At 44.7% G+C, this 22,679-nt stretch overlaps 1 protein-coding gene across 1 annotated transcript in view, besides 1 other annotated feature; it reads right to left on the reverse strand.

Moving 5' to 3' along the window:
* Positions 1-1,068: 1,068 nt before the first annotated feature.
* Positions 1,069-22,679, reverse strand: part of NUAK1 (NUAK family kinase 1) — a 75,610-nt gene continuing 53,999 nt past the window's right edge. The window contains exons 4-7 of the mRNA NM_014840.3: positions 21,588-21,653; positions 10,448-10,567; positions 8,498-8,630; positions 1,069-5,679 (exon numbers count right to left, since the gene is read on the reverse strand). Of these exons, the coding sequence (NP_055655.1) occupies positions 4,526-5,679; positions 8,498-8,630; positions 10,448-10,567; positions 21,588-21,653 (1,473 nt within the window). The 3' untranslated portion in view covers positions 1,069-4,525. The remainder of the gene's footprint in view (positions 5,680-8,497; positions 8,631-10,447; positions 10,568-21,587; positions 21,654-22,679) is intronic.
* Positions 18,615-19,115: an enhancer, noted in NCBI's record as "H3K4me1 hESC enhancer chr12:106474669-106475169 (GRCh37/hg19 assembly coordinates)". NCBI's record gives its function as "activates a minimal SCP1, AML or CMV promoter by ChIP-STARR-seq in naive H9 embryonic stem cells {active_cell/tissue: H9 hESC(naive)}" and the evidence as "EXISTENCE:reporter gene assay evidence [ECO:0000049][PMID:30033119]".

Below are 22,679 nucleotides of genomic sequence, written 5' to 3' on the forward strand. Positions count from 1 at the left end.
ACCACACCCAGCACCTGGTCAATTTGGACAACTAAGCCCTATCAGGTTAGGTTGCCAGATAGTATACAGTATGCTCAGTTAAATTTGAATTTCTTTTTTTTTTTTTTTTAGTATAAGCATGACCCAAATATTGTCTGGAACACACTTATATTGAAAAATTATTCATAGTATATGTGAAGTTCAAATGTAACTAGGCATTCTGTAGTTTTATTTGCTAAATGTGACAATGCTACATCAGATGTTCTTCCAGTAAACTAGAAAAGGGGTGCAAGTTGTAATTTCTTTGGAAAGTCAGACTTTTCTGGCATGGATCCTAAAACACTACTATTCTGTGCACAGCATCACTCTCTAATGTTTGATACTAGGGTAGGGTTTGATGTCACCTGATATTATGGCCAGGATCCAGGAACTCTTCAATCTTGCTCTATGATGCACCTCTCCTTCCAAGAGCTTTCTGGAGGGTCTATTTACACAAGAAACAGTGGCAAAATGGGACTCAAGATACTGTCATTCTAGGCAGAGCCGTGAGTGGCCTTCCCCATTAGGAAATCGTGACCCACTGATCTTGGACTCTGATTAATCCCAATCAGATTAGCAACTTCCTGCCCTTGGGATAGAGGGGAGTGCCTAGGGAAAGGGCAGGCACAGGAAACTGAAATGTGGAGAAAGAGCGTGGCTGAGTGTTAGCCTTTGATGACGTCTCCAGTTCAGAACTAAGGAACCTGGTGAGTAGTCTCTTTTGGAAACCAAGACTGAGAACATGTAAATTTGGAAGCTACGGGATAAGCCAAGGTGGGTTCCACAATCAGAGAGAAGAAAGCCAGGCTATAAAAGGAGAAGAAAGCTGATATGCAAAGAGAAGCAGAAAAGAGGGTATACTGTCCTCTTCAATCCACCACTCCAATTCTTAATTCCAGCGGCACTGCAAGATGCATTTCCTCTTCTAAGAACTTCGAATAAATTCCCTTTTGTGCTTAAGCTCATTTGGGTAGGTCTCTGTTACTTATATTGATTCTGTCACTTACTTGACTAAGAAAAAACCACCAAATAAAGAAGCAAGGTCTCTGGTTCAGTTCATTGCAATTTATTTAATTTAAAAATAAAAACAGAAACAAAAACCAAAATGAAACAAAAATCAGTTTCCAACGAAAATACAAACACTTTGGGTGGTTATCCAGCTTGTTTTTCCCCTGTAGGCTGTTCTGGGCTCAAACCAATCAAATGAGTGAAAACCAATTTTGACAGGAGCCATAAAGCATGTTGCACCAATTAAATTACACCAATATATTATTATAATACCTTTGAAATGCCTTTCAGACCAATAAATAAAAAAGACAAATTCAAATAAAAAAGTCAACTTTTTATTACCAAAAAAAATAGAAATTAAATAAAAGTCACAATGTGGATTTTTTTTTTTTTTTAATGTGCAGTCAAGTTTCTCTCTTTTTTTCTTCTAGGAATGATACCATGCCAGTAAATCCCTACAGAACATTTCCAGTTTGGCAACAAGCAGTCAGTCGATCATTCACATTTGTACTCAAGACAGCAGGCCTGGGCAAAACTCGCCTGAATTTCACCCTGAAAAGTGCTCCCCATCATCTGAAGAAGCAGCACCTGGTAACAGGCATGGCCATTCAGAGGGTACTTAGCATTTTCATTTCACCTGGGGTCTTGAAGCACTTCCTGAAAACTGATTGTGCCTTGACATTTACCTGTAAAAAGAAGTGTAATTCTACCCCTTTGGCAGATGTGTAAACTAAGACGGTGCAAGGCCCACAGAAGTAAGGAGAGGACCAGGAAAGCTGACAGTGAATCTCCTGCTTTGTCCATCAGGTCCTAAAAGTGTCTCTCACTTGTAATTCCACAGAAGTGAATAAAGCATAACTTCTTTGACTGGGATTGGCTGGTAGGGATGACAGGACTTAATGATGAAGCAGGGAGCTGCTTTAATGGCTTTTCCCTCTATTGCAAGTTTTTCCTTGAAAGGACAGTCAACACCACACCTAGAATCAGAGGATGTTGGCAGAGTGTCAGAGCTAAGCGGGGCTTCAGGTACCAGCTAATTCATCCCTCCAGCCCTCACTGGAAGGAAAACTTAACCCCTGCAAACAATGCAGATGCCTAAGGCCACCTATGACTTAACTCAGTCTCTGCCTCTGAGTGGAGGACTTTCTCTGCCACAGTCCACTGGCTGAGTTTCCTGACAAAAGAGAACACGTGTTTGGGGGGAGGAAGAAGGGAGTAGACTGACTTTCCTCAATAGTGTCATTTTTACTTAAAGACTAGAATGATGGAAACTACTAAACAGACTCAATCACTTGGCAAAAGGAAAAAACACATCAACCAGTAGGTAGGAGCTAGATCTAAGTCATACTGACAGCTACGGACACGGCCAGCTGCCGTGCACAAGGGGCCAGCAGGGCAGCAGCATAGGCTGTTCAGAAAAGACTGCATGAAATGAGGCAGGAAGTAGGGAGCTCAGAGTTGCAGGTTGTCCTCCATGCACCCACACCCCCACCCCCCCCCACACACACAATTTGCTATCTACAGAATTTTTTTTTTCCCTTTTAACCTCTATTAGAGTTCAGGAAGGAGGTGGAATTGAATGAAAGGAAATTGAGCAGCTTCCCATAACACACTGCTCAGCTCAACCTGAAGGAACGCATAAGCCAAAACACCAGAGCCGGTGGCAAGGGGAGAGCCCAAACTGTCTCCTTAAGGAAAGGGCAATTCCATTCTAATGCACTTTCTTAGCACTGTAAGGTGAATTTTTTTCTCATCTCCCTAGAACTATTGTTTGTTGGTTTTTCCAAAGATGTTCCCAAGACCAGTCCTCTTTTCTATCTACACGTCTACCAGTGGTGGCCATCTTGAACTGAGTTCAATTTGCCTTGGCCAGCAGAATCTGAAGTCATCCCAGAGACCAGGAAGTACAAACCTAGTATCATGAAGGTGTCCCATGGTTGGAGTGGCATCTTGTCATTGTGATCTGGGTGTTTAGAAATTACATATCTAGTTTTTTGTTTTGTTTTGTTTTGTTTTGTTTACTTTTTAAGATAAGAGTCCTGCCGCACCTCTTTTCTGTCTCCCCCAGAACCATCTGGGTAACATCTAAGGAAATGTTCCCTCTCTTACATGCTTCCTCCCAACCCCCTGCACTCTTTCAACACCTTATTCATTTAAATGAATGGAACTTTCTCTTCCCCCAAAGCCCAGGAGTTCATGGCAAAGTTTAAAACCATGACATAGAATACTTAGATTTGGGGGAAAAAAAGCACCATCTACCTGATTTTCCTTTCCTCATCCCAATATCCCATCTACATGCTAACTCCCTAGAAGCAAACTTGCCTACCTCTGAGGATGCTACACTCAGTGGATGGGGAAACCATCTGTCACTGGTGAACAGAGCCAATGGTTCAGCCAGGTAATCCTCTGGAGAATATGGACAGTATCACGTCCAACTCAAAGCATCCATGCAGGTGAGAACCCAAGAGGCAGCATTCCAGTTAATATTGAGAAAGAAAGTGACAAGTTGCCTCTTGTTGGTGTGCATCAACTTCCATTCATCTGTGCAAAGATCACAGACCATCTTGTGCCCTGTCATATATAATAGTTTTGACCTCTGACACCATCATCTTTCTCCCTGTCCACCCTCAAGAGGTTGTGCTGTAGAGCAAGGCAGACATCAGGAAAGAGGAGGTGAACAGCAAGGAGCTAAATCACCATGGGCTGACTCTATGTCCTTAGCAGAGTTCAGAGCATTCTCTCTCTGACCAAGGCCCTGTCTTTCCTCAAAGTTGAGTAGCAAATTAACAAATGCCTCACCAGTGGCATGAAAGAGTTAACATAGATCCCACAGGATGACTAAACCCGATTCCCAGGGCCTAGCCAGATCAAAGATGACAACTACATAGCATTAGTGCTACTGCTTCCCCTTCCCTTTCCCGTGGTAGCCATTACTAGTCAATCACAGCACTCCTTCCCCATGATGTGGGCCACTTACGCCAGCACAACTGGCAGCCACTATTAATTGATCGTCAACTCAAGCTCAAGTTGCTGAAATCTACTTGCCAGCTCCACGCAGCCAGACCTAGCTTGCTAATACAAGGAGAAAAGGGGCAAGTTCTTTGGGCTCACCCAAGGCAAACAGCCCAAGTGTCTCCTGCCCCTCCTCCAGAAGCATCTGGATGACTTCTAAGGAAATGCTCCTTCCACATATGCTTCCTCTCCACCCACTGAGTGCCGGTCAATACCACCTCCCCTGGACAGCTGGTCCTCTAGGAGGTGCCATAAAGCAAATGCCAAACAGGGCCCAAATTCTGACTGACAATTGACAGAACTGGCAGAAGAGCCCACCTCTCCCTTTTAGGTGTTGGCTCAAGGCTGCAAACTTGGCCAAGTGAGACAGTGCCAATCCTTTTTCAGTCTGTTGTCACAGCCAGCAAAGAGGTAACCAGCCTGTGAGCCCAAGTCTTGCTCCCCTTCCTCCCTCGTACCCCCGCCCGCCCCTGGGCGCCCTGGAATGCTAGTTGAGCTTGCTGCAGATCTCCAGCGCTTGCTTGTAGACCTGAGTCACATCATCCATGTCTGTGAGGAGGGAGAAGCTGCTGTCTGCCAGCCGGTTCCGGTACCGCTTCAGGTACTGGGGCCGGGGCCGGTTCTGGAGCCCCTCAAAGTCCTGGATCTGGAGGAAGTTTTCTGCAGAGACGCAGCTGCGGATGCGCTGGCGGGCAGGGCGATTCTCCTGCAAATCCAGCAAGTCAAAAGAGTCGCTGGACAGCACGCTGTCATCGCTGATGACACTGGAAGGGCGGCTGTAGCTCCGGGAGAGGCCCTCGGCAGGGACACCAGGCTCTGACAGGGATTCCAGTGTGGGCATTTCAGGGCTGACCAGGGCTGGGTCCATGGTGCCCGCTGAGTATTTGCTGCTGTGTTTCAAGATGCCCTTCCTCCGGCAGGAGAGGCTGTGGGAGGTTACCCTGGCTGGGTCCGGGGGGCTGGGGGAGGGGATGCTGCTGCCCATCACATCATTACTGTCCAACAGCTCCGAAGACTCACTGCGCTCTGGGGAAGAGTAGTAACCTGATTCTCTCTGCTGGGTCTTTTTCAAGATGCCTTTCTTGGGCATCGTGGCCGACTGCTTGGGGCTGAGTTTTCCCGGCACCTCTGCCTCTGGTGAGCTTGGGAGGAGCACGCCAGTCCTGCACAAGTCCTGCTCCATCTTGAAAGTAGAGGGTAAGGCAGGACCAACTACACCTTCAATGAAGCCAGTGCTGTGAGAGCGATGCTCGCTGTTGCTTCGCTTCTTCAGGATCCCCTTGGGCCTCTTAGAACTCAACTTGGATGGGCTTTCAGGCACTGCATCCTGACCAGACTGAGCAAAGTCATTCTCTTTCTTGGATTTCTTCAGCGACCGCTGCCGCTCTAGCATGACCTCAGAGGTCGTGGGTTTGGCCAGGCCCTTCATTTTGGCTTCGGTGTCAGCCTGCAGCCCTGTGGAACGGTGGTGCCAGTCAATGATCCGAGCCAGGAGTGGGGACTCAGAGTCATGGAGGGCATCACAGTCACACACGCTGCTCTTATAGCCCCAGTTCACCCACCAGTGGTTGGCAATGTCCTCAATAGTGGCCCGGCGATCGGGGTTCACCATCAGCATCCACCGTATGAGTCCTCGAGCATCTAAGGGACAAGGGACAAAAAGAATCGGGCATTATGTGGGAGCTTCTGGCTTTGTGATAGTGGGACCCTCCAGGAGTGACGAAAGACACACACTCCCTCTAGGACAAATCCATCTGGAGACCTGGTCCAGCCACATTATGGAGCAGGAAGCCCCAGCCTTTCAGATCATCCATCAAAAGCATAATCAAGACTTGGAACCACAGGCCAGGGTGCCATCACATCATGGCATGTTTTCCCTGTAAGTGAGAAAATGTCATAGAACTACTAAGCTTTTCATCATCTTGAATCTTTAGAAAATGTGGAAGGTCAGGTAACCAAGAAAGAATCCAGACTTGACCCTGAGAGGTGCCCCACCATTCCTTTGGCGAATATCATTTTACCAGAGGAAAAACAGGTGTAGATAACCATGGCTTTCTTTATTCCTCCAAAGGTGGGCTTGTATAAACACACAGCACCTGCAGTCACTGGGAAAGCATGCCAGAGACAGAACATGGAGTGTGGCTCAGAGGCACTTACCTGGAACACCTGGGCAGTAAGCGTGGCCATCTCCAAAGCTGGCCTCGCCCCAAGGTCCAGGCCAGGTTCTGAGACCAACACTCAGTGAGCTTGCCTTCTTTCCCTCTCTGACATAAGCCATCTTCTACTGAGCTATCAGATCAGAGAAGTGATCTATATCTGCTTCCCATTCACAGCCTGTCTGGAAATTCTACCTGCAAATTTCTGCTGCCAGAGAATTAGGGAAAACCCCTAAAGGGATGCTGAGAAGGCCACAGGAACCAACTGACTCTCACAGCTTATAAACTGACTTTTAGGTTCAAACTGTGTTCCCCCAATTGGGGTGAATTATATTCTTGGAAGCTGCCACCTCCCCTCAGCTGCTTATGTAAGCGAATGAGAAGCTGGCAAAGGCCTGGTAATAGGGACTGGGGCAAGAAACACCCCTGAAAAGTACCAAGATGATCATCCTCAGTCATTCAATAAGTATTTCTTGAACGCCTACAATGTGCCAGGAACCGCATTGGCATCAGTTAGCTGGTGAGGCAAAGAAGACCACTTTAGAGGTCACTCTGAATTTTTCCAAAAAGAACAGGCTGGCTTGTTGAAAAAATTATATATAGAGAGAGAGATAATGCATATCTATATATACACATACAACCGTCTAGCCTGATTATCCATAGAGTCTGTATTTGCAAATTTGCCTACTTGCTAAAATTTATTGGTAACCTCAAAATCAATATTCGCAGCTCTTTTGCAGTCATTTTTGCATATGCACAGAGCAGCAAAAAGTTTGAGTCACCCCAACACACATATGTATTCACAGCGGAGGTCAAACAAGGCAACACTCTGCCTTCTTATTTCAGTTCTCATACTATTATACAAATTGTCCTTTTCTCAGTCTATTTAGTGCTGTATTTCTCACATTTTTTGGAATTTTTATTGGTGATTCCTCTTTTTAAATGCCTCCCTAAAACAGTGCTGAAGCACTGTTCAGTGTTCCTAAGCTCAAGAAGGCTGTGATGTGCCTTATGGAGAAGATAAGTGTCTTAGATCAGTTTTGTTTAGGCATGAGTTACAGTGCTGTTGGCTGTTGAGTTTGATGTTAATGAATTAATAATATAGATTAAATAAGGTGTCTTTAAACAGAGACACACATAAAACAAGGTTATATATCAATCAGTTAACAAAAATATTGTGAGCAGAGGCTCTCAGGAACCTAACCCTCTATTTCCCCTAAGAGCAATGGTTCAATATTCACAAATTCAGTGTTTGTAGCAACTTTGTAGAACATAACTACTATGAATGAGAATCAACTGTGTATGTGTAGGTATACAGATATACATATATATATATGCGTGTGTATAGTATGTATATAAATGAAGTGCCAATGTTAACTTCATTTGTTAACAAAAATGACCAATGATGGCCAGCTGTACACACTCTCTATACAGGCATGATATTCCCCATCAAGAGATGAAGCTCATGACCGTGGTTGTCTTGACCAATAGAACACAGCAGATGTGACACAATCTGGGTACAAGCATGGACATGGCACTGGCACTCCAGCCTGGGCAACAGAGCGAGACACTCTCTCAAGAAAAATTTTAAAAAAAGAAAGAAAGCTCGGCAACTTTTTATTCCTCCTTCTTAGAACCCCAAGCTGCCACTGTGGGGTGGCACCTCAGAGAGCACTGAGGAAGGTCCACCATTCAGCCCCAGCAGCAGCCCCAACTGCCATCTGCTTACAACTGTAGGAGAGGAAGGCCATAAGAGCACTTCCCAACCCACAGGGGTGAAAGAGATGATTTCATGGTTGTGTAAGCCACTGAGTTTGTTTTGTAGGGGCAGATGGGGTAGAGTTGTTACACAGAAATCAATAATGAGACAGAACCCATGAGCCATGCCCCATGCCAGTGGCACAGTAGTGAGAGACAGAGCAGTGGCCACCCTCACAGTATTTACATTCTCAGGTGAGTGGTTTCTATGTCTACTCAGACTGGGAGAGACCTCATCTAATATCTTTTCCAACGTTTTTATTTATGGTGGAGAATCTGAATCCAAAGAGATTAAGTGACTTGTCCAGATCCACAAAGCAAGCAAACAGGACTCCTAGAAGGTGTGCTCTGAAAATTTCCTTTGGGAAGGTTTGGGGAAAGCAGCCTAATAAGCCAGTTTTGCCAAGGATGACACTTCTGGGAAGAAGAAAGAGGAAAACCAGGTGACTCCAGACAGACATACTAAAACAAAAGCAGAAAATAAGAGTTGGGTAAGCAGATCTCTCTCCCCTCCACCTCTGACCCTCCCTCCACAGGGCACGCACCTGAGGGCTGTGTTGGCTCCCGGTACTCTCCGCTGCTGATTTGCCGAATGAGGTTTTTGTGATCGAAACCATCGAAGGGCATTGTTCCATAAACAAGAGTGTAAAGCAACACACCCAGGGCCCAGCTGTCCACCTGGAGCAGAGAGACAGCACATATAGGAGAGCTGGGAAACAGATCCCAAGATGCCTTCCAAACCATTAGCATCATAGCCTGTGAGCAGCCACCCCCAGCAGCCCCAGGAACTGAATTTAGCACCTGGAAGATAGGTTCCTAGTGCAGCCTGACACCTGACAGCAATGCAGCTGGGACCTGCTACAGAGCCTGACCTTTCCATTCTGAACAGAGGCCAGTGGTCCCAACTAGTAAAGAACTTTCTTAAACAGATTATCTTCTTTAATCCTCACTACAATTTTGTGAAGCAGTTAGAGCCAGGACTATTTTCAGCCCCATTTAAAAGATGAGAATACTGAGGCACGAAGAACCTAAATGGTTTCTCCAGAGGCCCTGCCCCAGTGACGGAGGTAAAACTGGGATGCGGGGCTCTTCATTCCTAATCCAGGAATCAATTCCTTCCTGCACTTTCTTCAAATGAATCAGGAATTACAAACTGAAATCTTAACAGATATACACAAAGCAAGAAAGAATTGGGGTTATGACATAGAGTGTTGGGGATGGAGACAAACTGTACAGTACATTCACCCGTCTTAGGCAGACAGCCTCTCCTTAGCTAATTGCTGCCATGTAGTAACATGGGCCCAGCACTGCTCGATTCTTTGGTTTTACAAGAGAAGTCAGAAACCAAACTTTTACATGAAATCTCCCAATTATTACATGTTTGTTCAATTTTTTTAATAAAAACTAAGGTGGCCAAATAAAGGAGTTTGCTGACCAGATCACAGACTGCTAGCCTGGAACCTCAAAAACAGGTCATCGAAGACCAAAATATTCATTATCTATGAGAAATTTCGTGTCGAGTTTCTACAAGTTTGTAAATTGAGTTCTATGCTCCTCCCTCACATTCTTATTTTAGAAAGACTTTCTCTTCATTGCAGTTAATAGATGGTCTTGGCATCCTTCTCTTTACCCTTCAGCCCTGCCCCCAAACACTCTCAAACACATAAATATTTGAAAGAAAACATTTCAACACACTGAGCAGCTGCTATTTAAAGGATACTGAGTGGATGAACTCTGAAAAGAGAACCATCTTTCAAAAAGAGAATCATCACTCACAACTCACTCATTTTCAAAATAAAATTTCCATATACCCATATCTTACAGTGGCCCTTGAAAGCGCTAGCATGTAGGGAAATGTATTTCTCATGAATTAGAAGATGTCATTAAAATGTATTTCCTTAGTCAGATATGCATGCTGCCAAAAATATATACAAAAAAGATATTTACCCCAGAGTGAGGCAATTTTTTGTTTGTTTGTTTTGTCTGTTTTGATATAATAGGGAAAAAACTAAATGTTCACATCTAGACATTACTAAATAAATTTTGGTATATTCATTGATAAAATGTCATTAAAATCATGTTTTTAATAATGAATTTGGAAATTGCCACAAGATAGTTTTCATAGTAAAGGGCAAGATATACATACGTGTGTCACATACATATGTATATCTTGCCTTTTATTAACTTGATCTCAATTATTTTTGAAATGCAGAGATCTACATTGGGAAAAGTTTAAAAGTCACTAGAGTTTTAAGTGATTATCTTTTCTAGGGGGATGGCAGGTACCTTTATTTTCTCCTTTAGGCTTTTCTGGGTTTCCCAAATTTCCTCCCAGGAGTATACATTAACTGCTTTTATAATCGTATAAGGAAACGTTTTCCTTGCTGGCTTTTTTAGGCTCTGTTTTTTTAAGCATTTCTCGAATCCAGTTTTTGCCCTTCCTCCCTCTTCTCCCTCCCCTCCCCTGCCCCATACACATTGGGAAAGCTGCTCACCTCTGGCCCTCGGTAAGGTCTCCCATTGACAATCTCAGGAGATGCATAGAGTGGACTCCCACAAAACGTTTGTAAGAACTTATCCTTCTGGTACAGGTTGGAAAGCCCAAAGTCAGCAATCTACAAAGAGAAGCAAGACCCAGGGAGACTTGTTAGCATTCCAGATTATGTCTGTGTTGGATCAGTTCACACCACACAGCACACAGAGTGGATGAAGGGCACCTGGGTGGGTCTGCTGGCTGGATCGCCATTTTCTCTCCAGCCCTGAGTCTTCATAAAGGACCACTCAGCCCAAGCAGGTCAGTGTTTCCTAGCTGCAGTCCTTGGCATCCATCACAAGTTCTACCAAATCTGCAGACTACAAGCTCTGCAACTTACTTAGAAATTACTCTTTAAATGGATGCTCTATTTAAACTTTAATTTAGACTTGCTTTGAGAAATAACATTCACAAAATCACTGGCTTGATGTTTCTGATGAACATTAAAGTGTGTAACTATTAATTTAAGAATTCTCCCTCTGTGGTCTACCCAATTATGCTGCATCTGCGGTGGTGTGCATATCACACTGCGGAAAAACCCTGACCTACACAACTGGTGATACCACCTCTGTATCCACTCACACCCTGATCAGAACTGTATTTTGCCTGTCTTGTGACTCAAGATGAAATGGACTAATTGACTCACAGCATTGGGTTTTGAGTCATCATATTTCAGTCCCAACTCTGCTCCTATCTGTCACTTAATGACCTTGAGCCTCAGTTTACCCACCAGAAAATGGGAATCCATGATCCCTTCCCTGTTCTAGCTCACAGGATCATCATGAGAATAATAAGAAAAAGAAATCAATCGAGATGAGACCTTGGCCAGGCGGATCACTTGAGGTCAAGAATTCGAGACCAGCCTGGCCAACATGGAAAAACCCCGTCTCTACTAAAAATACAAAAATTAGCCGGGCGTGGTGGTGCATGCCTGTAATCTCAGCTACTCGGGAGGCTGAGGCATGAGAATCACTTAAACCTGAGAGGCGGAGATTGCAGTGAGCCAAAATCACACCACTGCACTCCAGCCTGGGCGACAAAGCGAGATTCAATCTCAAAAAAAAAAATAAGATGACACCGTGAGTGTAACAGTGGTTCATAACCTTCAAGTTTGATGCAAATGTTTCATCTAGCCTTGTTTTCATTGTACTCCACACACCTTGGAGTCATTCTCTTCTCCTTTGGTTTCTTGAAGTGTTTTATGTGTTATCATTTATGACAGCACTTTTACATATATATGTATATGTATATGTACACATATGTACAAATATACACATATACACATATATACATACATATACATATATATATTTGCTTTCCCTACCAGACTCTGAGTTTCCTGAGGCAGTTGGCAGGTTCCACATCCTCCCCTTATCTTTGTATCATCCACTGCTTAGCACCTGCCCACACCCAAGAAACACTTGTCACTGGTACAGGCATTATATTTTGAAAAGCACAAGATAATTAATATATAATGCAAAATAATAATAATAATAATAAACTTAGTTGCCACTTTTTGAACAACTTCCAATTATCAGGTACTGCTCCAAACACTTTATTTAATCTAATCTTAACAAAAACCTGGTTTACACAGCAATGTGAATGCCTTTCATGCCTAAAAAAGGTTAAAATAGTCAGTTTTATGTTATGTCCACTTTACCACACATTTTTTGAAAAACTCATTTAACAGATGAGGAAATTGAGGTTTAAGGAGTTTGAGGTTACTCATTTAAGGAGATGAGTAACTAATATGCAGCAATATAAACCCCCGTGTCTCTAAAGCTTCAAACCACAGTGCCACCCTGTCCCTGGGTCACCTGTATATTTCACTCCACTCTAAGCCAGCCTTGCAAGCTGAGCCCCTGTAGGTTTCCATCATTCTCCAAGCTGATTTCCATTTGAGGCTTGGAAATGAGCTGCATGATTCACATGCCCAGAGAGAGCCCAGCCTGAATACCACCGAGGCTCTGTGGTGGTCACAGCCCCTAGAAGCAGCCTATTTTGTAAAAGTCATCCCTGAATGAATGGAATGTCATTGAAAGCAGCTGGTGTACAACCAGCCTCAGAAAATGCATTCTCCGGGCTCAGATTGCACTTCATTGCCCTGAATTCCACTTTCTTATCAAGGCCCCTGACTTGCTTGCAGGAAGTTGGTTGGAAGCTTTATGAAGTGTGCCCTGTCAATCAGAAGAGGCATGGAATGGCTACGCACAGGAAAATGCATTCTCTTCCCGCCTGGCAGTGCCTGGGGCACCATATGAGCTTCCAAATACACGTGCGTGTGAGAGGCACCCGCTGCACATGCACACACTCACACCAGGAGTTTTCATTCCAAGTCTGGGCAGCCTCATTTGCTCTGTAGCCGTTCTGGAGAAGTGTGTTTATGTTATGGCCCACTCCTATCCTCACAGACTGATGTTTATCAGCCTCTCCCAGTAAAACTGTCATTGCCACTGACACAAGATTAATAGAAATCTAGATTAGCCTGTGTTCTTGGCACTTCGATGGGAAAGCAGTATTAATCAACACACACACACACACACACACACACACACACAGAGAGAGAGAGAGAGCGTTCTCAGATCTTGAGCCATTCAAACTTAGGCTTCGGCTCTAAGATTTAATGCCATACGGAACTTATATCAACTATTGATAAGAGGGGAAATGGCCACTGGTTATGAAACCTCTCTGAAGCTTCAGTTTTCTCGTCTGTAAAATAGCGTTAGGAAGAGTGTCTATCCCTACTGTGTCATGGTGGAGATTAAATGACATAAAGTATGTAAAGTCCTTACAACAGTAATTGGCCCAGAGTTGGAGCTCAATATATATTTGCTTCCCAACTTTAAATCCAGGGAGTTAATTACCTTCGTTATACTAGAAGCAGAGTTTATCCCAATGCCAGGGACTCTTGACAGTGAAGAAATAGAGAAATTTCAGATGCCAAATAATAATGGAATTAAATAACTTTGAATAATAAAATGAAAAATTCATTCCTTTCTGGATTCACCTTCAGTTCTTTGGATTAAGTCAAGAAGAAGGTCTCAGTTGGGCACTGGTGTGTCTTCAGTATCTCTTTAGCATTTATCAAAGAGACCAGGCCTCCGGCCTAGCCTGCAGCAGCAACCAACATCAAGCTGGAACTTCAGAATGCTATTTGGTTTCCATTATACTTAGTTTTGAGCTTATCTTCTATTCATGGTAAGTGATACTGGTTTTCCACTTAAGGTAATTATTTAGGGCTTCTTTTTCAAATAGACAGAACTTTAAAAAGTGACCTGAACTCAACAAAAATATTAAGTAAAATAGCAGTGAGGATACTGCGGAAAGGCAAAAATCCATGAAAAGGATGACAAACTGAAATTTGAGAAATACTGATTTTAAACATCATAAAACAAAATCTCAGAATTACTTTGACCTGAAAGAGCCCTAACAGATGTTAATCCTGCCCCTCGCTCTAAAAGTGAAGCAGCTGAAGGTTCCAGGGCATAAGAAGTTTTGCTAAAGGTTGCAAAGAACAGCAGCAAGTACATGAAGGAGCACATGGGTCTTCCCAAGCCGTACAGTTTCTCCAACAGAACATCAGCTGCAAATGGAGAGGATGACTTTCCAGCAAGGAGGCGACTGGGCTGAAGAATTTTGCTGACACACTAGCAGGCAAGCTTTGGAGAAAGGTACCTACCTAGCTGGCATTTTTGCTTGTTGTTTTGACTGCTCCCCTGCCCCATACTGATTCAGAACCACCTTCTGCCCCTGCCCTGTGCTATTCAGTTCAGCCTCAATTCTCGAAAGGAGCCCCGGAACTCAAGGCTCGGGTCCTTAATATTTGGAGTTTTTATTGTTATCAAGCCTTTCCAGAGGTGTTCCCCACTGCATGAAAATTGGGGTTAGAAAGATAAATGAGGAAGTAATTATTCATTCACATTTCAAAAGGATTAACCTCACTACAACACAGATGAACCCTGAAGATGTTATGCTAAGTGAAATAAGCCAGACACAAAAGGACATATATGATTCCATGTACATGAGGTCCCTAGAGTAGTCGAATTCAGAGATGGAAAATAGAATGGAGGTTGCCAGTGGCTGGGAGGAGGGGGAAAGGGGAGTTACTATTCAGTGGGGACAGCGTTTCAGCTGGGGAAGGTGAAAACATTCTAGAGATGGATGATGGTAATGCCTACACAACAATATGAGTATACTTAATGCCACTGAACTGTGTACCTAAAACTGGTAAGTTTGATGTTACATATATTTTACCACCATAAAAGGATTAACTCCAGAACACTGTTTATAATGAGCTCATCTGGTGAAAACTGAAGTGTCACCTTGCTGACATTAACTGATAGGAAAGGATGCTGATGGCAATGATAATAATTAGTGATGGTCTAACAGTCATCTGCAGTGTTTAAGAGGAAGTGTGGTGCACTCCACAGATCAGACATTTTGGGTCCAGGAGAACCTGGGGCTAATCATGGCTTTGTCGTTACTAGGTGATGGGTGGGACCTGCCAAGTCACTCAAGTTCCTCATCTGCAAAATGGCACTCAGACTAGAACCCACCTCACATAGGTAAGAAGAGTAGAGAATACGCATGTAAAGCTCCTGGAATAGTCCTGGGACCAGCTGACGCTATAAATTACAGCCATTATGGTAAGGCTGATGGTTTGGCCGACTTAACAATCGTTTGTTAGACCAGGCAAACAGGGAACCAAAAGCATTAAAGCCACTGCCCATTAAAGAGCCAGGAGATCTTACCACTCATTTATAATACAGTCACGTTCAGAGTGAGAAGCTGCATCATAGGATGGGAAAAGGAAAGGATTCAGGGTTTGAGCACTTGAGTTCAAATCTCAGCCTTGCCTCGTACCAGCATCTAACCCAAGGCGCTTTAGATAATCCCACCCCACTCCAATCTGGCCCACGGACCAGCAGCATTAGCATCACCTCGGAACATTTCAGAAACTGAGACACTCAGGCCCTGCCCCAGATCCACTAAAACTGCATTTTCACAAGAGCCCCAGTGTATAATACGCACTTGCACATTAGCCATTCTAAGCCTGCATTTCTTCATCTGTAAAGTGGGGTTGATGATAATAATGTCACCTACCTGGAAGTGCTGGTACCAAACCAAATAAACTGATTCATGGAAGTGCTTACACCATGCCTACCTAGCACACAGTAGGCCTTCAGTAAATGTTAGCTATGACTACTTTATTTAACCTCTCTGAGTCTCAGATTCCTTTGTTGGAAAATGGAATTGCAATACCGCCAATCACTTGGTGCTGTGAAAATCAAAGCCAGATTAAACAAGAAAAGAATTAAAATAGGCCAGATGTGGTGGCTCATGCCTGCAATCCCAGTGTTTTTCAAGGTTAAGGCAGGGGGACTGCTTGAGGCCAGGAGTTTAAGGCTGCTGTGAGCTATGATGGTGCCACTGCACTCCAGTCTATGCGACAGAGCAAGACCCTGTCTCTAAAAATAAAAGTAACAGTAGCAGCATTGCTATATGCCAGGCACGGTTCTGTGAGTGCTACATATATTGATGTAGTAAATTCTCACAACAACCCTATCTGGAAGATTGCAGATAGTGGAATTCTAAAATTATCCTTATTTTGCAGATAAGAAAACTGAGGCACAGGGTGGTAAACTGGCTTGCCTGAGACATCGGTGAACAGCTGCCTTAGCTGTAAAGTTCTACATAAAGGGGAGTTATTGCTGTCAGGTGGCTGACGAGGAAATGCACTTTCTGTGTAACTCTTCGGGAAGACAGCAATTCCATCCAGGAAGGTACACTCCATAACTCCTTTCCGGCCTTGGAGTTGATCGCTGTGGCTTCACTCAAGACAGCCTCACTCCTGAGTTGCCAGGAAGTGAAGGCAGGGAGTGGAACAAGGAGCAGAAGTGAGTGGGGTCGGCTTCTGTCTTCAGAGGATCTAAGCTCATGCTGCCTCTCTTAAAAGAAAAGAAATTCCCACCAGGAACAATGTGAGGAGGCTCTTAAAAGAGGGCGCGTCCAAGCAGCAGCTCCCATGGATGTTAATTAGCAGCCAGTGCCAGCTCACAGCACACAGCCCTGGCATCCCCGCATGGCTACTCTGGCCACCATGACTCAGCCTGGCCATCAGCCACCATTAGCACTTGGAGAGTCTCTCGCAGTGATAGCTGTCTGCAAGCCTGCCTGCAGACAAGGTAAGGCTGACCAAAGCATGGACCAAACAGTGCCCTCATTTGATGTGCTCTTAGATGTATGGCAAATTTGGATAGTAAGAGTAGAGAGTAGAATTCATCAGGTGTCTGGTCTTTAGAGTCAAATAGCCATAGGTTTGTAGCCAGTCCCATCACTTATTAGCTGCAAGAGCTTCCTCTTCTGTAAAATGATGTAATCACACCCACCCCGGTGGAGACATTCTGAGGACCAAATGAAATAAGGTGTGGAAGGTCTGACATGGGGCTCTAGCTTCTAGCAGGGGCTCAGTAAGCATTACTTTCCTTTTCTAGTCTCCATGCTGTGTTCCTGTGCTTGCTGTTTCTTCCTCTTGAAAAGCCATCATCATGCTCCTTACTATCAAACTCCTACCCATCCCTCAAAACCCAATTCAATCCCTCTTCCTCCATGAAAGCTTTCTGGTCCATCCAGCCAGACAGACCCACTGCTTCCTGCTCAGCACTTCCAGAATACATTACACAGGGCCATTTGGCCCTGCCAAGGGAGAAGGATCAGGGAAGGCTTCCTGGAAGAAGAGGCAGTCAAGCAGAGACCCCAAAGAAGGAGCAGGCAAAAAGGAATGAGCAGAGCATTCCAGACAGTGTGAACCATGTGTGCCAAGGTCAAGAAGCCAGAGAGAGCTTGGTGGATGACAGGAATTCAAGTCCTATACCAGGGGCCTTCCCTGACCACTCTAGGTAAAAGAGCAACTCTATTCTTCATTCTCATCCTGCATGGATTTTCTTCACTGCCAGCCAATTACATTATGTGTTTATTTGTTTACTGCTGTGTCTCCAACTGGAATTTTAAGCTCACTAGAGCAGGTACCTTCTCTTCTTCACTGACTTCTGTATCCTCCTCACGGCTCATTATCACTGCTAGTTTAACAACTGCGAGATCCTGAGTTCCAAGACAGAAATTTGGCCATCTAGTTCACTATTAAATCCCCAGCACAGGGTCAAGTACACAGTAGGACCTTAATGAATATTTCTGATCAAATAAATATTGCCCAGAAAAGACGTTCAATTCCTCAGTGAATAAATGCAGGAATGGATGAGTGAATGCAGGTATGCGTGGATATATACACACAACACATGAATTGATTAATTCATGCATGAACACAGAGCTCTCCCATTCATATCATCAAAGCCCAGAGGCTGACTCTCAGCTGCCCCACTTGGTCTTATTAAGCTTCAGAGGTTTCTATCTCATCTTGGCCCTGGCCATTCAAAGCTTCTTTTCTTATCCACAGCAGCCGCGCTTCCATTGTCTTAAGGGGCAGCAGGCCATTTCCCCTATGCCCCTCTACTCTGAGCCCTGGGAGCTCACCAGATTCCCAGCCCTCTTGGAGGAGGTCGGCTGACCCTGGTGCCTGGACCTCTTCTCATTGTAAGACATTTTTACAGGAGCCTTCTATGGGAATTGTCAGCATTCCATTCTCCCAGAGAGTGGGCTGTGAATTTGGCCCGTTTTTTATTAATTGCAAATTAGTGCTGTGCTTGGTGTCTATTTTAGTAGACATGCTTCCAGAGTACGGAATGCAGCCCAAAGCAGCACATTGCTCTCATTCTTTCTGCTGACCGACTGTGTGAATATTTTTAGAAACCACACCCTCTCGCAGTGCCAGATAAATAATTTCCAATGCCAGATGTGTGCTCTGCAAATCAACATCAGGCAGGGAAGGGGAGAGGAATGAGCTACATGGCTCTCCCCACCACTGCAGCGACATGTGACAAGTTTAAACCAGTAGCATTTATATAGGCTTCCTAGGCCAAAGTCCTCCACCCTTGAAACGTGGAAAATGGATCCACATTTAGAGAAGCACCAGAGGGGGCTCCAAGAGAGGATCTTGCTGCTCATGTCCCGCTGGTTCGTGGCTCGTGTGTCTGTGGTCCCCCAGGTCCAGACACGGATGGCAGGGGCTCTCTTGAGCACAGAGGCCGGCTTGTGGCCATGTATCTGCCTGCCTTTGCCAGCATGGGTCCTTTCTAAATATGTTTCAGCAAAATGCTGAGTCAGGAAGAGTTGAGAATATACCACCAGAAGACAAATCAAGACCAGCTGAATCACATTTTTTTAAAACCTTGGAAGTGGATGGGAGATGATGAAAAGATAATTTGCCTGGAAGTCAAACACATGAGTTCTAATCCTGGCTCATCATTCCTTTATTCCAAAATCAAACCATTTTGAAGTACCTACTGTGTGCCAAGCACTAGTCTACACTCTGGGGAAGCAAAGACACAATAATTTAGTCCAGACTGATTCACTGTGTGATCGTGGGCATTATCCTCTAGACTTTCTGGGTCTAATCATTAAAACAAGGGGTTGGAAAAATGACTCCCAAAGTTCTTTAAAGATGTAGGATTCTCAGACCTAAGTAGGATTCCTTGAACAAAGAGGAAAGGAATTTAAAAGTGTTGATAATGGGAAGATCTGGTTTCTCTTTGGGACGTATGTGTGCATGCACACCCGTGCTTTACCTTGGGAAATGCCAGGATTAGAAATTCTTAAGGAAAGGTATATGCCTAAGCCTTAATTGATAATACTGCTTTGTGTGTGTGCTCTTTCCCTCCATCATGCACAGGCACCCTAGGTTGAAGAACTTGGTGCAGGGGAACTGTCAGGCCCAACATCATTGCCCTTTTGCTTACACAAATGAAGCCATTCTCCTGGGCTCCTGCCTCACTGTTTCCCTGCACAATTGCTTTCAGAATTCTAATCATTCTTTTCCTCCATTAGGGAATTACATGATTTCATAGAAAGCTATGTGTCTTATCACTTCTGGGAATACATCATGGGACCAAGAGGTCACACTGCACCATAGAACCCAACCCCTAGGCAAGAGGCTTACATTCCAGGCCTTGTAAAGATGACATTTAGTTTTGAGAGCTCTGGGGGCAGGTGGCAGGAAGGATCTGGAGAGGAAGTCAATAAGGTTGATGACACAAACCCTTAGAAAAATGTGGTGGCCCTCAAACCAAGACCAATTTTTCAGCCATGGCCTGACCACCACTCCCCAGGACCTAGGTAGGCACCTTCAGAGCAGCTGACTTCCGGTTCAATTCCCTCTCCAGTGGCCAGCCACTTAAGAAGGCTCCCAGTATAGTAACAGTTAAGCATGAATTGCTTTGATTGTAGTATTGTCTAAAATCTTCACGTTTATTATTGACTCTCCAGGACTGGGCACAGGGCATTGCACACAGTAACAGTTCAGAAAATACTCCTTGAAACAAAAATGAACAAATAAACAATAATCTGCAGAGACAGGAACTGGCAACTCTTGACAGATGAGGAAACTAAAGCCTAAATCATCAAGAAACTTACCCCAAATCCTGCCATTACTAAGGGGCAGGGTTGAAATATCTAACTCCAAAGCCACTGCTTTTAACTTTGACTCATTTGGACACGAGTGCTTAGCAGTTTACAAAACTAAACACAGAGTGTCTCATTCACTGCTCTAAGCAGGCCTGTGAGTAGTACTGTTACCCCGTTTTACAGCTGAGGAAACAGGGTTAAGTGGTTTTCCCAGTGTCAAGAAGCTAGTAAGCCATACAGCCCGGAATTTCCTAACTCTACAACCAGTGCTCCTTCTAGAATAATCCAACCACTTTGCCAGAAATAGACCCTGCGATTCCACTTCCTATTCCCATGGAGAACTACTTTGACCAACTATTTCCTGCTTATTCTATAGACTACATGTGACTACGGTCAAACACTCTGCAAGAGCAAGAGGTCACTGGGTCATGGCTTCCAGGGGCCTCTCAAAGGATGATGGTGACTAATGGTTGCTGCCATGATCTGTACAGAGAATCCCAACACCAAAGCAACTCCATCCTTCCAAGCAAGGAAACAAGTCTCATCACACGCTCCTCCACTGATAGCAGCAACAACAAAAAAATCATTCCCATGCTTTGCCCAGGGACCAGGGATAAGCCACTAACGTCACCAGCGGCCAATTGGAGGGCTCCTGCTGGTGCCGGGAGTACTAAGGCCGTTTCATAATGAAACCCATGCAGCGAGCTCCGTTTATTTTGAAACCGTATTTGCTTATTTTGTAGACGTGGTCAAAAGGACATTCAGAGGGCTCCCTGGGAGGCACTTGAACCCTGTGGGCCAGGAGAACTTTCTCCAGCTCCAGCAGCAGCCAGCAATAATACTCTCCGTGCAAGTAAACTCCAGCACTTGCTATTTCCCAACAGCAAGCACCATCCCCATTTTAGTCAGCTTCCCAGGTCTATGGCTGGTTTCAGGGGTGGGAAGGTGGAGAGGGAGAAGTAGGAGACAGGGTGGAGAGTGACAAAGAAATAGCCAGGCAAAGAGTTCCAGCTCTAAAATAATTTAGGATCCTGCTAGCAAATCAAGCAAAGCGACTTGAATTTGGGCTCGTGAAATCAGACAGACATGGGTTCAAATCCCAACTCTACTCTTTACCACTGGATTACCTTGGGCAAATTACTTAGTTTTTCTGTGCCTCAGTTTCCCTATCTGTGAAATTATGTAAATAACAGTACCTACCTTGTAGAGTTGTTGTAAAGATTGAATTTAAGTGATAGCAGGCAAAAATATAAAATACATATGAAATATGTATTGGTTGCTAAAAGTATTGTTATGGTGATGATTTTAGACTATGAGCTTCCTGAGGAGAGACACTGTATCTCAGTCATCTCATCTTACCCAGGGAGGAAGAACAATGCCCGGCATATAGTAGGAGATCAATAACTGCTTGTCGCATTTAATTGTTTGAACTGGACTTGGAGCTCAAGCAAAGAGACTCTTCCCCACCAGCCTGCCAGGTAGGAAGTGGCTGCCTTATTTCCAGGCTGCGGCTTGGAGCAGGTTAAGCCTCCATCCGGCTGCAAGACCCAGGCCCTGCATATCAATCGACGACGCAAGGGCTTTACCTTAATATTGCAGTTGTCATCGAGCAGTATATTTTCCAGCTTCAAGTCCCGGTGGACCACACCGTTCTGAAATGAGAAGACAAAGAGGGAATTGAATGGGAGCGGCTGGGATGAGAACAAGAGAGAAAGAGGAAGGAGGAGGGTGAGCAAAGGGAAATGTCTGACAGATTAAAGAAATGCACCAGCCCGGTGGTCTTCACCTCCATCCTTCAGGCTGCTCTCACTGTCTTGACGCTCCCCCGCCAGCGACCAACCAGCGACAGGAGAGCATTAGTCACTTGCTGTGTGGTTAAGGGAAAAATGACTGGAATCTGTTCTCCCCCAGAGCCTGTAAAACAGCAGGGGGATTCTTTGTCGGAATGTAATTCCACTGTGTGAAAGCAATATAATCCCAGGCAGCAGCAAACAATGTCTGTCTGGACGGGATTCCCAGGGAAGAAGCAGATTTCTCTACTGGGGACTCAAGATTGTGGGGCTCACAGGCACTCCTCATCTGTCTGTCTGTGTGCCTGCCTGCCTACTCAACGCTGGAAAGACATCTGGCTCAATCTATTCCGACCTGTTTTGATCTGTCCTGAGGATAACATTTCCTAAGCAACCTGGAGAGAAGACTCAGAAAGTCCCTCTCTGCTCAGCAGGACTCAGGGCTGGGTGAAAGATGAAGCATGAGAGCAGACCAATGAGACTGGGACCACTGGCCTGACCAAAGCAGGTGGCTGCCATCCTGCCTGACCTTTCCATTCAGGCAAACTCTGGCAAGGCTGGAGGCTGAACTTCAATGACCAGCAGCCAGCCAGCTGAAACGTGAAAAGCAGTCATCAGCCAATAGGCTGTCGGTCTACACAGCAGTAAACACTAGCCTTCTTCATTCTTTTTTAAGACCCGATTATCTTTTTAGGGGGTGGGTGGGCATGGGAAGAGCAGTGGGCCCGAAAGAACTGGCTATTTTGGGGTGAGTGGACAAGTAACAGGGGACATTGAATGATTCTGAACATCATTCAGCATAAAGGACATCTGCAATCGAAGCTGCTCTTTTGAGCAAACCAACAGGCATGTTTATGGGTGGTTCTTTCTTGTTTATTTTCCTTTTCA

Source organism: Homo sapiens, chromosome 12 (assembly GCF_000001405.40).
Source record: "Homo sapiens chromosome 12, GRCh38.p14 Primary Assembly".
Lineage (NCBI taxonomy): Eukaryota > Metazoa > Chordata > Mammalia > Primates > Hominidae > Homo > Homo sapiens.